Here is a 17,132-nt window from a genome sequence, read left to right on the forward strand (position 1 = left end):
CTAGTTAGGGACGTTTCACAGAGTAAAGGCTCGTGTGAATCCATAGAACACTGATGCTTTGGCCTGTTTAGACGAGTGCTAAGCAGTTCACCAAGGCAGAACCACAGCAAGGGTTAGCAAACCCACCAGCTTTTCTGTACCGATGAAACTCGCGTAGTTTTAGAAAAAAGAGAGAGATGCCTAGTAGAAACTGCAAGCAAGGCAGAGAAACTATGACAGGTTTTAAAACTTTGAAGGACCAGATCACATTCCTTCTCACAAGCTTCAAATCCAGGGAGTAAAGATGGATCTACCAACAGATGGATCTATGAACCATCTCTTACGACCAAACACATCTGCTGGAGCTCCTGTACACACCTGTGGCTGTTACAATTCAGCATGAACGTGCAGAACCCACCCCTCCAGCCCCCTGAGATCCTGATTCATTCAACTGGGATACAGCCCGTTTTAACAAGCTCCCCAAGAGATACTGAGGCAGATGGGCCCCGGACCACAAAGCCAGTACTCATTATCAGAGAAGACTCAGAATCAAGAGCAGTGTAGAACTGCTGCACACGCCCCACAAACACTGCTGGGGAAAAAGCGCAGTCTGAAACCAAAACACCACCCGCCGGAGCCCCAATTTAGCATTTGTTCCACAGTAGATCAGGGAAGTCAGCAGTAAATGAGTAACATGTTACATAAGTTGCTGTTCTGTATGCAGAACCTTAACTCACCAAAGAGAAGCTAAAACCATATAAAAAGCAACAGCCCACCCCCAAAACAAATGCTGTGCAACTGCAGCCAGGATCCCCCAACCCCTTCTGCTGGGCTAAGATGAGCCCTCCTTTGTGCTGCAAACCCCCAGTGCTCACCCTTGGGCCCCTGGAGACTGGATCCTTTAGTCCAGATAAGGGAAGGTGAGGTTAGGGAAGAGGGTAGAAGGAGGACATTCAGGGCTACGTGGGCCTGAACACTGGCTTCAGCAAAGCTTCCCTCTGGCTGAAAACACACATGGAAACACGTTTTGCTGGACTACACCTCTGGCCTGTTGCTGAAAAATTCTGGAACCACGGCATCCCCTGTCTTGGGTCTTGTCCAGGAACCTCAAACCACTCTCTTCAACACTCTCCTTCTCTCTCAAGCAAGGATTCTCAGTCTTTTCCTCTTCCCAGTTCCCCCAGACCTGGCTAACAAGCTAGTTCTGACTAGAAGGTGAAAGGCTGATGGTGGCTGGGACAATTATCACACGAGTGACCACAGAAGACGTCATTGTGGGTATGGTGAAGCCATGCACATGTATGTAATATGTGTTACTCCTTCCATGGAGCCAGCCTCGGGCGCCTTCTCAGCATGGGGCCAGAGGCCGGCATTCCAACTTCCTGGCAAGTTTCAGAGGGAAGCTATAAGTTTCAGAGGGAAAAGTCCATACCTATCTCTTCATTACTCTACTTCAAGCACCCAGCATGGTGAATAACTCTTAGGAAGTCATAAAAAAAAATCAGTATTGAATTGAATTAAATTGACACCTGATGTGAAACTTCAAGGTCCCACCCCCCACACATTTGGCCACAAAGCTCATCTCAAAATGCGGTAGAGTCACCCAGGAAGTTTGTTAACAAGTCCATCTCCTGGGCTCCACCCTAGACTTAGGAAATCAGATTCCATGGGATCTGCATCTCTCATCAGTTGCCAGATAATCTAATACATGCAGAATCTGAGAACCAGTGCCTTAACCTTACGGGCACCAGTGCTATGGGATGTGATTAAGCAAAAGGGCCCTTTTGAAACAGACAAAACAGAACAAAATAGAGGCCAGCATTGGCTCAAGTGGGAGTAGAGAACACACAACGTCAGGCAAATATGAGGAAGATAAGAGATCAGAGAGACAAGAAAGGTCTAGAATAGCATTTTGGAGCTAACAGGACAATCAACGGATCTCAACAGGTTGGCCCTCACCTGTTTTCCCTGCTTGTGGGGTACCATGCCTTATCACCAGGTCATGGACCAGGGGGCATCAGCAAAGCCGAAGGGTGAAGAGCACAGAGCTCGCAGCTCTGCCTCACCGCAGAAGATTGCACAGCACAAGAGGCACACCCTCATGTAGACCCCTCTATGAGTCTGGCTTCTCTCCTTCACACTGCAGACTGTCAGCTACAGTCAGCAAATCTTCCTCCCTCATGCTTTACTCTTGGGATTGCCCCATATGAGCAGGGCAGGGAGCTGCTAACAGCTGGAATGCAGGGAACCCCGCCAGAGCCTTGCCCCTGCACCCAAAGGGCCACAAAATCTCCCCTCGCCACCCTTCCTGAGACAGGGAACTCCGCCACCGCCAGCAGCCGTCACAGCAACATCAAACACGGGTGTTTATGCCAAGCCCCATTTACACGAGCCCACTTCTCCCCGAGAGATGAATTTCTAAAACAAACAGCTTTTACATATGTTCACAGGCACAGTCACGTCAGCGTCAGGGATCCCGAGACGGAAACGTGAGTCAGTCTGGGGCAAAGATGCTAAGTAAATCCTGTTTGGGTGAAATTCCTCTCTCTGGAGAAAGAGGAGCCTCAACACGGATTGCTCAGATTTCTCAGCAAGAGTACCTAAAGACAGCAAGCTCTTGCAGGGGAGCCAGCTCTGCACGTTCTGGACTCCAAATCTACCATCGTCACACTGAAGTGTGTTGGCCTCATCACCCCAACCTTCTGTGAGCCCTTCTAACCATTCCCCCTGCATCCAAGCATCCCGGTCTCCACACGCACCCTGGTTTCATCAGGGAATCTGATGGCCCTGCCCTGTTGGGCAATGGTTGTCCACACTCCTGTAAGATTTCTGGACATTCCAAGGCTCGGGTCTCTGGCAGCCAAAGAGACAAATGCCACCAGGTAGACACACAGGTGTCTGAGAAGTGAGGGACTGCACATAACTGGCACAAGCAGCTAACCTGAAAGACTGATGCCATGAAGGACTCAGGTAAGGGGCAATGTGACCACACAGGAAATCTCATGTTTGGGAGTATGAACTACATGGGTCATCACCTCCTGTTTCCTTAATTTTGCCTACAGAGACTTTGGAAAAAGGAGGAATTCCATAACCTAACACAACATATGCAGGCTGTGTTAGAGTAAGAGGCTGCCAATCGAAAGAATTAGTGCAGGATGAGGTCAAGACAGCATTTAGGACCCACTACAGTCTGAACATTTATGTTCTGCCAAATTTCATATGAAGAAACCTAAGCCACAACACAGTCACAGCATTAAGAGGAGGGGCCTTTAGGAGGTAATTAAGTCATAAGAGCTCCATCCTTGTGGATGGGATTAGTGGCCCTTATAAAAGAGGCTGATGGGCGCTGCCTTGCCCCTTCTATCATGTGAGGACACAGAAGGCACCAGCTAAGAGGAACAGGCCCTCACCCGATGCAGCATCTGCTGGTGCCTTCATCATGGACTTCTAGCCTTCAGAATTGTGAGAAATTAGATTTCCATTTTTCATAAATTACCCATTCTAAGGTGTTTTGTGACAGCAGCCTGAACAGACTAAGACAGGACCTAATATAGGTCAATCATCCAACCTAGAGATAGCAGAAGGACAAGAGGCTCCAGCACAGGCACTGGCGTGGTGAACTCCAAGTCCACACTGTGTCTGAGAAGACGGCACGGACCCCAACCCAGACCCTACCTCTCTGGGCTACACTGCTGGGGGCATGATGAGGCTGCAAGCAAGGGCTCTGCACTGTGCCCTGGGAGGCACTGGCCCGCTGAGGACACGTGTCTTGGGTCCTGGGGGTGAGGACTTGAGCTGCCCTCAGGGAAGTGGGTCTAGAGGGGTTACCATGGCCTTGGGTGTCTTGAAATAAGAGTCTGGAACTTTGGACCCATTCCAGACCTTGGCTGGAGCATCAGAGGCTTAGCCTCCCCACATGCATGAGGGTCTGTAACCAACATGGGCCTACGACCGAGTCCACAAAGCTCTAGGTGAGAGAGATGAAGGGGGAATTGCTGGCTAGCTAAGAGACGGGGATGGAGGTGGGGGTCTTATGTATGTCCCTAGGCTACAGGCAGAGCTCCCCTTTCGCCATGGCCAGAGCCAAACCCAAGAGAAAGAAAAGCTACAAACCGAGCCCGTTCTCCGCCAGTGTAGCGTGATTCACGTCACATTCACCCATATCTTGCTCTCCAACATGATCATTCAAATCCAAGCCAGGCTGATGGGACCCATTTCCAAAGTGCCTCTCATCCTTCTCAGAGCCGGCGTCCCCATTTTCCATCCCGTTCTGAGACTTTTTCAGGGGCATTATTTGCAAACCACTGGGGGTAGTCCTGTAAGACACCGTCTTGGTGGCCCTGTCACCTCCTGAAGAGGGCTTGCCTGAATACCCTTTTTTTGGCTTGGCCAGGGGAGGGTTAATTCGCTTCCGTTTATGGGAGGTCCCCTTGCTCTTTCCAGGATCTGAAGGTCTGTGGGACAGTTTCTCAACCGACGGGCCTCGACTGTCACGCAGCAGCTTGGAGGTACTGGACTGCTTCCCTGACTTGATCCTCTTGTCCTTGGACATGTGCAACCCATTGAATTCATCAATAAACTCCTCACAGTGCAAGAGGTGGTGCTCCGGCTCCCACGTGTCCTCGGTGCTCCCGTAGCCTTTCCATCGGATAAGATACTCCCATTTTCCTTTCTTGTTCTTCCTCTTGTCTACAATCCTTTCAACCTGCGATACAAGATGAGAGGGTCAGAAAACAGAGAGAGAGGGAGGAAAAAACTCAGTTCGAGGCAACAAGAACACCATAAAGCCTTTGGGATAGAGGCATCTACCCTAGCCAGGGGGTGAGCCACGAGCCATTCAATGCCAGAAGCCAACACTGGCAGGAGGGTTCAAGAAGGCTGGTTTATTTTACGACATCACTGGATGGAACCTAAGGCACATGCAGCCATTTCCCATGATGACGCTAGATGACACGCCCAGCTGGTGGTAGCCACATGTCCATCCAGGCTTACTTTTATTTGAAATTGCCTTGCAAGGTTTCACAAGAGATCTTTATTCTTTTCATTGCACCAAAGTAGATGCAGGCTATTAAAGACCAATTTGGTGTGAGTTCTTCATCCTTATTTATAATAAGTAACATTTATTGAGCAATTATATGGGAGGTACTATGCCAATTTATCCTTACTTATAACAATACCAATGATCATTAACATTCACTGGGTGCTTATGAGCCAGACACTATACTAAATGCTGGGCATAGACTCTCCCATCTCATTTTCTCGTGGACAAAAACTCAATGAAGTAAATATTTTTCTATCCCCAATTTACAGTCAGAGAACGAGGGCTCAGAGAGACCAAGTAACTTAACCAAGTTCCAGAATGGTAAGGGCAGAACTGGGGTTTGAACCACTCTCACCTCAGACTTATTCTCTTACTCACTAGGCCATACTAACTCTCTTAACTGCAAAAATCTTCCACAGTGACCAAAAAGGACTTGAACTGAAAATGTCCAGCTCTCCCCACACAGCTCCCCCAGCTGCAACACAGAGGCACAGCTAGGAGGCAAAGAGATAGGTAACATTTGCTGAGTACCTACTATGCACCTCACATGTCCCTGTGGGTGTACACCACTATTATTTTTCCATTTGATAGATGAAGATATTGCATATAAGGCAACTCGCCTACCATGCACAGCTCGCAGGCGATACTGGTGGGATTTGAACCTTTATGTGTCAGGCCCTAAAGCCATGAGCTACTGTCTACATGTCTTCAAAGGCAAGAAAACCTCCCTTGTCTTTATGTAATCCCGTGGAAAAATACACTCGGAAAATGCCAGTCTCGATGCTAATAACTGTTGTATTTAACTGAAGGGTATGTGAGGGTTCATTTAGTATTCTTTCAACTTTGCTGTAGACTTGAAACTTTTTCAATTAAAAGAAGGTGGAAAATTCCCAATGTTGTACCCTCCAAATGCTAAATTTCAATGAAAAAGTAAGCAGTTATATTCAAAAGTTTATTCTACTTCAATATCAATATAATATGCTTTTCTAGAATGGAATTTTGACCCAATAAAATTAAGTCGAGTCAGGAATAAGCCTCTGAAACTTACAAAAAGAAAAATAAAACAGGTGAGCAAAGGTGAGTACAGTCATAGTTGATAATTGTTGAAAATGGGTAATGAATACATGGGGTAATTTATATGGATGTTTATGTTTACGTGTTTGAATTTTAGTATGTTTAGAATTTTAATCCTAAAAAGTGAAAAAACTTTGAAAAGTGGGATTGTCTCATCAATGGCTTTTGCACAACAGAGGTCATGCAAAATAATTAAACCACTTTCTTTGCCTTGCACTTAATAAATATGCAAATAACTAGACCATACTGCCTCTTTATAATACTGCCTCTTCATAGACAATTTAAATTGTTTCCTTAATTAATTTATCTCCATCCAAACTGGCTATCAAAATTTGTTTCCTTATTAAACGTCCTGGGAACAGGTCTTTTAGATTTATTAGATAATTTTTAGATATAATACACAAACTCTGTAACATTTTTGAAAAAGTAAAATCATGCCTAACTAATCCAATATCCAACCTTTGGGTTAAGGAATGGAGTTACTGAGTATTCCTTTGTAATAATGCTTCAGAACGCCAAGGATTTCTGGAAGAGCCTGCAGCTTTGCTCTTTTTGTGAACATTGTAGGGAGAAACTCTCTACAGGTTTACTGAGGGAGGAAAGAGAGTAAGCAATCTGACATTGCCTGAAACAGCAGCATTTGTGAGGACACCAACCTAGGAACAGCAGCAGCGCCCAGATATTTCCTGGGAGCTAAGGGATGTGGTGTATTCTCATGGAAGCCTCCAGCTCTAGACAATATATGCTCACTTCCCGGGATGGAGAAATTTCTTCCCCAGGATGAAGTGGAGGACCATGTTAGACAAATAGCCAACACAATGGATGAGTGCGTGGGTGGGTGGATGGATGGATGGGTGGATGGGTGGGTGGATGAATGGATGAATGGATAGATGGATGGTGGGATGTATGGGTGACTAGATGTATAAATAAATGAATAGATGGCTGGATAGATGGATAGATGGATGGTAGGATGTATGGGTGACTAGATGGATAAATAAATGAATAGATGGATGGATGGCTGGCTGGCTGGCTGGATGGATGGATGGACAGATGTGGGATGGATGAAAAGGTGGGGACAGAAGTGGGTTCATAAATGGATGGATAGATTAATAGATGACACTTATCAAAATGGCATTAGCAAAATATTTAAGAACAGGGCTTTGTAACAAAACGATCTGTTTTAAATCCCCTGCTATGCCTCTTATCATGTGTTCTTGAGCAAGTTATTAAACCTCTTTGGGCCTCAGATGACTCATAGAGCAAGGCAGAAGTATAGCGCCTATCTCTTGGGGTTGTTGCGGAAAATACACAACTATGTACGTTTGCATTCCACAGTAATCTTGCATAGACTCCTGTGACCACAAACCTTAGTGGTGTCTAAAGACAGAATGTTCCTCCACCTTTCAGAATATGACCCCTTAAAACAGTCAACTCCTCCATGGGAAGAAGAGAGAGTATACCTACTTAGATAAGTGCTTCCATGCATGGAAGGTGGCTATGCATAGTTGGGCTACATGAAAAGCTGAAGGTTAGCAAGGGTGCAGGGTCTAGATGGCTATTTGGGGCCACATTGGAGGCGGAGCTTAGTTTTGTTCCCTCCAAATTACTGGAGGTTGCAATCACAGAGTCACAGGTAGCTTTATGGGGGACATCAAGGCTAGTTCTTCTACCTCTGGTCCCATTCACAAAGCCACTGGGTGGCTTGTCAACAATTTCTACTTAACCCAATACCAATGATGAGCAGTATTAACAGGACCATCTCTAATAGCCTGGTATGTGGAGGAAGACACCTTGGCTCTGTCATTTTCTATCTGTATGACCTTGGGCATGTCACCCCACCTCTCTGGCCTTGGTGTCCCCATCGGTAAAATATATAATAATAAAGAAAAACTGAAAGAATTAAGATACAGGAAAAGCATCACTACAAGATGAATGGATGACTCCGATACATATGAACTTCAGTTGACAAAACTGCTTTTATATACATTGTTTCACCCCCAATTTAAAAAAGCAAACAAACACAAGGTTTTTGCAGGTTCAGAAAACACTGTTTTTCCTGAAACACTGGAATAACCACAAAAAACTCAGGGGAAAGCTGGCTCCCAAATACCCCAGCATACTTTGATCTCCGGCATCTCTCAGGACCTAATCTTCTATACATCTTTGTGTAGGTTTCTGACTCTTTTCCTCTTCTCAGGAGCACCTCAAACAGAACCTGAATTGTAATTTGTTCTGTTGATAGAAAAAGCCCAAGTCGTTTAGGACTTGACCTTGCATATGACTGCAACATTCTCTCTCTGGGAAATCCTTTTTAAGCTCCTCCAAACTTCCTGCACTGTCTCATAACTCCTCACACCAAAAACAAACAAACAAAAACAAACAAAAAACAGAGAGCTGGTACCCCTGGTCCTGGCAGCTCTGTCTCTTGATGCTCTGCCCCCGCTCTACCTGGGCAGGCCACTTGCTTTACCTGAAGCTCAGTCCTTCCAAATGGAAACAATAATTAATTCTCTTCCCTTTATTTGCACATATGAATGAATGAATGAATGAATGAATGACATTAGAAAATCCTGTGTACACACCCCCACCAGCTTCTTTTCTCAAAAATAAGCAATCTGAGATGCTGAACTATTCCTCAGAGTTCAATCAAATCATTCATTAACATTTACTCTCCATGATCCCAGCTAATGTGAGACTCTGCTCTATTGCAGGTGGCAGGCAGGGAAATGCTGATGCTATTATTACCAGTGCCAGGATGCCACCTGGATGGCTGTCTCAGTAGGATTAATACTGATGACAATCATCTTGACTGGTACATGCATAGTTCCAGGAACTGTGTAAATCACTTTCAGGTGTTAGATTTCATCTTATGCCCAGCTTTCCAGCTGGACATCATTCTCATTTGACAGGGGAGGAAACTGAGGCTCAGAGAAGGTAGGTAACTTTCCCTTGATCACACAGTCAGTAGCTGGTTAACCAAGATTTGAACCCAAGTTCATCTGACTGCAACAGCCTGAGTTCCTAGCCACATCTTGCCAGTGAGAAGCTATTAGAACAGGGCAGGGCCAAGCAAAGCATGAACCATTGGAACAGCAACAAGAGGAACGGATACTGAGGAAGGAAACGGCTTCACGGAAGTGACGCATACAATAACTCTTCAAGGATCACTGATACGCGAGGCACCAGCGTGCAACAAGAAACCTCGCAGACCGCCATCATGGCTCACAGGCTAGTGAGAAACACAGGCCTTAAAAGGAGCACAACATAATATGTAGTAACAAATTACAAAAAGCACTCTGGGCCAGGCACGGTGACTCAGGCCTGTAATCCCAGCACTTTGGGAGGCTGAGGTGGCCGGATCACCTGAGGTCAGGAGTTCGAAACCAGCCTGGCCAACATGGTGAAACCCCATCTCTACTAATAATACAAAAATTAGCTGGGCGTGGTGGCATATGTCTGTAATCCCAGCTACTCCAGAGGCTGAGACAGGAGAATCACTTGAACCCAGGAGGCGGAGGTTACAGTGAGGCGAGATCGCACCACTGCACTCTAGCCTAGGAGACAGAGCAAGACTCTGTCTCAAAAATAAAAAAAAAATAAAAAAATAAATAGAAATAAAAAAGGACTCGTACTCTGATGGCAAAGAGGAAGGTGCTGTGAGAAACAACGGCAGCGGGAATGGATTTACTTCAAACAGAACAGTCACAAAGGCTCCTCCAAGAAAGGACAATTTAAACTGACAGCAAACTCAGCCTGTAGAGATGAGAAGGACTGGAGCAGTGAGGGGCCTTCCAAGCAAGGGAGACCACCCCCTCCTCCTCAGCCTTTCCACTAGCAGGCTGATAACATACCACCATCACCACCTAACCTTGATTCAGCATGACTAAGGGCCAGCTGCTGCTGTACTTGATCCCTATACATTAACTCTCCAAAATAACCCAGCAAGGTAAGTAATTTTATTTTCTTATTTTTTATATAGAGGATAAAACTGAGGCACCCAGAAGTTATGGACTTTGGTAAGCACAGAAGAGCTAAGACTTGGTCTAATGCATCTTGGCTCCAAATCCCATGCTCTCGGCGACCACATTATATACACCTCTCATCGTGCAGTGGGTCCAACCTGACCAAGGCTGGCAGCATATCCGCAGCTTCAGGCTCTTCCCCTCAACTCCTGCCAATTTCCTTGAAGTCCTGAAGCATCTTTCCATCACTTCGGATTAGCCTCCTGCGCTGGCCTCTCCTAGAGCCCCTACCATGCCAGCCACAGGGCCTCCTCTCCCTCTGCTTCAATTCTTCATTGGTCCAAATGGAAACAGACTCATCACCAGTCATAATCCCCACCACAGATTCCCACCAAACCAGCACAATGTATAAAATTACAATTGCTCTGGAACCCAGGATTACAATCAAAGATTTTGCAGACTGCTGAAGGGATATCTTCCCAACACATGGCACTGGATTGAGAAATTGTGGGTTTACTAGTACATGTCTTGGTCTCTGGGAGCAAAAAGCAAGGCCAAAAAAAAAAGAACAGAGAAAGAAGACATCCACGCCTACAGCCTCTGCCCATCCATATACCAGAGCAGCCATCCCTGGCCAGAAACAGTTCATTCCCTAACTCTGTACCTCAAACCCCACATCCCTGAAGACCTTTCTTTCTGCATCCTTTCAACATCCTGAGACAACTCCCTTGGGGGCGGAAGGGCGAAGGCACCCCATGGTTACAACTTGGGGTATGAAGTCCTCAGGAAGGATAAAGAGGGCAAGTTCTGGGAACAACTTGGCATGGGCTATTTAAAATCCAGAAGACTTAGATTGCTTCAGCTAATCTAGCCAGAGAAGGCAGTAGGTTTTTCCCGTCCAGTGCAGCAAAACTACACAAGGGAAATGGCTGTCAGACCAAGAAGTTTGGCTCAGAGCCATGTAAACCAAGCTAGATTCTGGGCAAGGGTCTGACTGGGGGACTCTGTGGCATCCAAGTGGTGAGAGAGACCAACAGGAATTTCCATATCCATTCTGCTGGAAAACACTATGCCTAGAGAGACCTCACACAAAATTAGTAATAGCAGCATCATCACACAACATGGTCATAAAAATTTTTAAAACATAAGAACATGATCATAACTAAAATGTTCCCAGTACAATCACACCAGTGAAGAGTACTACTGTATATTTTTGAATAGTATTTGTGGTGTGTCTTCCAATACTACAGAAAATATGACCCATGTTTTTAAAAGAGAGAGAAGAAGAGATACATGATGAAATGAAACCAACAGGTTGAGAAGGAAGCTGAAATGAAAAAAACGATTCATTTACATAAGAAAGGATGTAAAGGAATCAAAGAGAAAACGCAAGCAAGGGAATAAAATTCCCGCTGGAACCAGGAAAGGACAGAACCAACATGCGGGAAATCACACCAGCGACATAGACAACATACTCGAAAAGCTGTCCAAGAGAGCAGGAAAAAAGGACACAGAAATTTTAAAGAAAGCACTAAGGAAAATGAGAATAGATACCTAGAAGAGTTAATAGAGATCCACCCAGTCTAAGTCCAACAAAGAGAAAAAAATCTAAACAGGGCAGAAACGCTAATCAAGTCATAATAGAAGAAATCTACGTCCTAAGTCTGCACGTCAAAAGAAGACTTCACTGACGGGGGAAGGAGAGTTTGAGAATAGATCAACTTTATTTCTATCCATGCAAAGCTTCTTCATTTCAAAAAACTGAATTATCTGCCTCATCCCCCAGCCCTCCCCCATCCAAAAATCAGGCCAACTTCAGAACATTATGTTCCAGAACACCTGTTGAAGCAATAAATATTCTGAACTCAAGAATTCTATTCTATAGCCCAAGTGGTCCTTCAGATGAGAACGGGGGAAGAAGATAACTCATCTCTTAGGGGACAAAATAGGAACTGCCCATTTAAAACATGACTCAAACAGGTACTTCAGAGAACAATTTTAAACCTAAATTTTTAACGTAAAACTGGAGAAGGTGTAGTAAGAATACATATTAGGATTAATGCTATACAATGATACCAAATAAATACCTGGAGTTGAGGCTTAAGTAATCATTGTAATTATGACAAATTGAAAGCAAATATTAAATGATTTTCAAAGGATTACTTGCATATATAATGTGAAAATAGAAAGCAAAACTATAATAATGTGATTTTTAAATGCCAAGTTAAGATAATGAGTATAGGAAATGGTCAAACATGAAGAAGAGTGAAAACTTAACTGAATGATGTCTGCCTTTATCACTAGAGTAACATGTTTGTGTATATTGACAAAACAATTACTTTCAAGAAAGAACACACGCCCATAAAATGACACGATCAATGATCAGAGCATTTTTTCTCATAACAGACAAAACCTGGAGAAATCTAAGTATTTTAACAGAATAAATAGACCATAGCATATCTGTGCAGAGAAGTACCACTCAATAATAAAAAGGAATGACACACACAACAATTTGGAAGAAACTCACAGGCATTATGCTGAATGAAGGGGCCAGACTCAGAAGACTACATGCCAGGCAAACTCATCTATAGTGATCGAAGCCAGATCAGTGGGGGCTGGGTGTGGGGGTGGATGGCGGGGTGGGGGTGAGAGTGATTGCAAAGGCCATAAGGAAACTTTCTGGGGAAATGGAAATGTTCTATAATTGGATTTGCGTGGTGAGGTATACATCTGTCAAAAGTCACTTTTACACTGAAAATGTGTGTAATCATAAATAAGTTATACCTCAATAAAGTTGTTTGGAAGACACACACAAAACACATAGAAATAAAAAGAGGAAATATGCATTTCAAATCAAATGAGAAGATGGAAATAAGGTCTATATTGCAAAAGAAATTGTAATAAAGCATAAAAGACAAAAAGCATTAAACAAGACAGCAGAAATGAGGCCAAAGGTATTATTTACAAAAAAAAGTTCTGTATGTGAATACTAACAGGGGCTTAATTTGTCATTTCCAAAAACTAGAAACAACTATATTCTTCAACAAGAAAACAGATAAACAAACTGAAGTTCATCCGTATAACAGAATACCACTCAGAAATTAAAAGGAACAAACTATTACTTGGTACAGCAACATAAATGAATCTTACATTCAGGTGCCAAGGACCAGAAGAAGAGGGGATGATTACCAATCGGCTACACAAGGGAATCTTTAGGTGATTAAACTGTTCTGCGTGGTCCTATGGGGGTGGATTCATGACTGTACATTTGTCAAAAACCACAGAGCTGTAGACCACAAAAAAAGAGTGACCTTTTCTGTACGCACTTTTAAAAAAAAATCAACCAAGGTGTCAGAGGCTCCCAGGATGGAATGCATCCAGTGACAAATGAATCTCACTGTATTACAGATGTATGATACAACCTAAATACAAGAGACAGGGAAAAGGAGCTGACCCAAGTAACTTTAGAAAACTGTGTTTTAATTGGACAAAATAAAGACAAAGTATACAAATACTGTATTCTAGTTCAGCAGTCCCCAACCTTTTTGGCACCAAGGACCAGTCTCATGGAAGACAATTTTTCCACGACGGGCGGAATGGTTTTAGGATGAAACTGTTCCACCTCAGATCATCAGGCATTAGTTAGATTCTCATAAGAAACACGCAACCCAAATCCCTTGCATGCGCAGTTCACAAGAGGGTTCGTACTCCTATGAGAATCTAATGCCACTGCTGATCTGGCAGGAGGCGGAGCTCAGGTGGTAATGCTCCCTTACCCACCACTCACCTCCTGCTGTGTGGCCCGGTTCCTAACAGGCCACGGCCTGGTACCAGTCCATAACCAGGGGGTTAGGAACCCCTGCTCTAGTTGGTAAAATTGTTTTTTGCAGAGGTACAAAGAATTTAAAAAATGACCTTAAGCATACACTAGGTTTGAGCAAATATGTAAATAATTGATAGGAAATGAAAGCCAGGTTTCTCACTGGCTTAAAAAAAAAGCTATAAATAAGCTAAAGGAGAAGATTAGAATAAACCCTGGAATACTGAATCGGAGTAAGAGATATCAGTATAAACTCATGTTTACTTTAATACATTTACACATATAAACATGGAAATATAAATATATGTATACATGAGTTAGAGCACACACATATTTCCTACATCTTTCCTCTGAGAAGACCAAGAAGCAGTCACACCCTACTATCAATGAGCACATCCAGCAACACAGATCATGGTTTCTTAATATCACTCTCCAATGAAAAAAACTAGGGCTCCCTAGGAAAATGCCTAACTCTAGGGCTGGGACAGAAAACATACAAGATGACCCTAGAAGATCTGAGAGTGCTAAAAGGTATGAAAGTGCTCCAAATAAATAAATAAACCCACAATGACGGGAATATATCAAAAGGGCCAAATGAAAGAGCTCCCGATGGCCAAAACTGGAACAATCTGAGTAACAGAACAAAATTAAGCAACATGCTCCTGATAATAAGAGTAACCCAAAGAATATATATCCCAAAGAATTATAACCCGAAGAATAAATATTCAAGAGTCCATCTGATATAAACAGGTGAATTAATCAGCAGTTAGCCAATTATGGCCTGCAGGCCAAATCTGGCCAGATGTTTGTTTTTGGAAGTAAAGTTTTATTGGTACACACCCATGTCCATGCATCTATGTAATATCTGTGGCTGCTTTCACAATACAACAGTAGAAATGAGTTGTTGTCACACAGAGTGTTCAGCTCACAAATACTTACTCTGGCCCAAGAAAAAGTTTGCCAACACTTATCACTATACAAAACCACAAAACCAAAGATAAATAATAAAAGCGGAAGAAAGAAACAAAGGCTATACAAAACAACCACAAAGCAAATGACAAGAGTAAGTCCTAACCTATCAATAATAACATTGAATGTAAATGGATTAAATTTCCCAGTTAAAAGATAAAGAATGACTGAATGAACTAAAAAAGCAATACCCAACTACATGCTGCCTATAAGAAATTCACTTCACCTGTAAAGACACAAACAGATTGAAAGTGAAGGGATGGAAAAAGATACACTACACAAACAGAAACCAAAAATGAGCAGAAGTGGTTATATTTATAGCAGATAAAATAGACCTTAAGTTTAAAAACTGTAAAAAGCAATAAAGGAGGTCATTATATAATGATAAAGGGATCAATTCAGCAAAAGGAAATTACAATTGTAAATATGTATGTACCCAACACAGGAGCACCCAGATACATAAAGCAAATATTATTAGATCTAAAAGGAGGGAAAGACCTCAATACAATATTAGTTGAGACCTTCAACACACCACTCTCAGCACGAGACAGATCAAGCAGGCAGAAAATCAACAAACATCAGCTTTAACCTCCACTACAGACCAAATGAACCTACCAGACATTTATAGAAGGTTTCAATCAACTGCTGCAGAACGCATATTCTTCTCATTAGCACATGAAGCATTCTCCAGGATAGACCATACATCATGCCACAAAAGTCTCTACAAATGCTTTAAAAATTGAAATCATATCAATTATCTTTTCTGACCACAATGAAATAAAACTAGAAATCAATAACAAGAAAAACCTTGAAACTGTACAAATAATCGAAATTAAGCAATGCGTTCCTTAACAACCAATGAGTCAGTGAAGAAATTAAGAAGGGAACTTAAAAATTTCTTGAAACAAATGAAAACAGAAACACAACATACCAAAACCTATGGGATATAGAAAAGCAGTACTAAGAGAGAAGGTAATAGCAATGAACATCTACATCAAAAAAGCAGAAAGATTTCAAATGACCTAATGATACATCTCAAGGAACTAGAAAAGCAAGAAAAAACCGAACTCAATAGACAAAAAGAAATAATAAAGATGAGGGCAGAAATAGGGACTAAAAAATACAAAAGGTCAACAATACAGTTTTTTTTAAATATAAAATCAACAAACCATTAGCTAGACTAAGTAAAAAATAGAGAAGACACAAATAAAATCACAAACAAAAAAGAAGACATTACAACTGATATTATCGAAATACAAAAAATTCTTAGAGACTGTTACAAACAACTATATGCCAACAAATTGGAAAGCCTAGACAAAATGAATACATTCCTGGACACATACAACCTACCAAGATTAAACAGGAAATACAAAATAGAAATAGGAAACCTGAATAGACCAATTAACAAGTAACAAGATGGAAGAGTAATAAAAAAAAAAAGCCTCCCAACAAAGAAAAGTCCAGAACAGGATGGCTTTACTGCTGAATTCTACCAAACTTTTAAAGAAGGACTCTAAAACTAATTCTTCTCCAAGTCTTCCAAAAATCTGAAGAGGAGGGCCCAGGCATGGTGTCATGCACTTAGAGACCCAGCTCCTCTGGAGGTGGAAGTGAGAGAATCACCTGAAGTCAGGAGTTCAAGGTTGCAGTGCCCTATGATTGCATCTGTGAATAGCCATTACACTCCGGCCTGAACAACATAGTGATATTTTGTTTCTAAAAAAAAAATAAGTAAAGTAAAATGATAAACTGAAGGGGAGGGAATTATTCCAAACTCATTCTATGAGGCCAGTGTCATCTTGACACCAAAAGCAAACAAGGACACAAGAAAAAGAAAACTACCGGCCAACATCCCTGATGAACGTAGATGCAAAAATCCTCAACAAAGAATACAAGCAAACTAATCCAACAACACATCAACAACATAGTACACCATAATCAAGTGGGATTTATCCCAGTGATTCACATATGGCTCAACATACATTAGAAAATAAATGTAATACATCACATTAAGAATGAAAGACAAAAACCATAAAATCATCCCAATGGATACAGAGAAAGCATTTAATAAAATTCAGCATCTCATCATGATAAAAACTCTCAACAAATCAGGTAGACAAGGAACGTTCCTCAACATTATAAAGGCCATATCTGACAAACCCACAGCCAACATCACACTGAATCAGGAAAAGTTGGAAGCTTTTCCTCTAAGAACTGGAACAAGACAAGGAGGCACACTTTCACCACTCTTACTCAACATAGTATTGGAAGTCCTAGCCAGGGAAAT

General features: G+C 42.6%; 1 protein-coding gene across 4 annotated transcripts in view; it reads right to left on the reverse strand.

The window, feature by feature from the left end:
• Positions 1-17,132, reverse strand: part of CDYL2 (chromodomain Y like 2) — a 207,131-nt gene that overhangs the window by 82,539 nt on the left and 107,460 nt on the right. For all 4 annotated transcript variants that reach the window (XM_011522866.2, NM_152342.4, XM_011522867.3 and 1 more), the window contains exon 2: positions 4,093-4,684. In XM_011522866.2, coding sequence (XP_011521168.1) covers positions 4,093-4,684 — 592 coding nt within the window. The remainder of the gene's footprint in view (positions 1-4,092; positions 4,685-17,132) is intronic.

This window comes from Homo sapiens, chromosome 16 (genome assembly GCF_000001405.40).
Source record: "Homo sapiens chromosome 16, GRCh38.p14 Primary Assembly".
NCBI classification, from domain to species: Eukaryota; Metazoa; Chordata; class Mammalia; order Primates; family Hominidae; genus Homo; species Homo sapiens.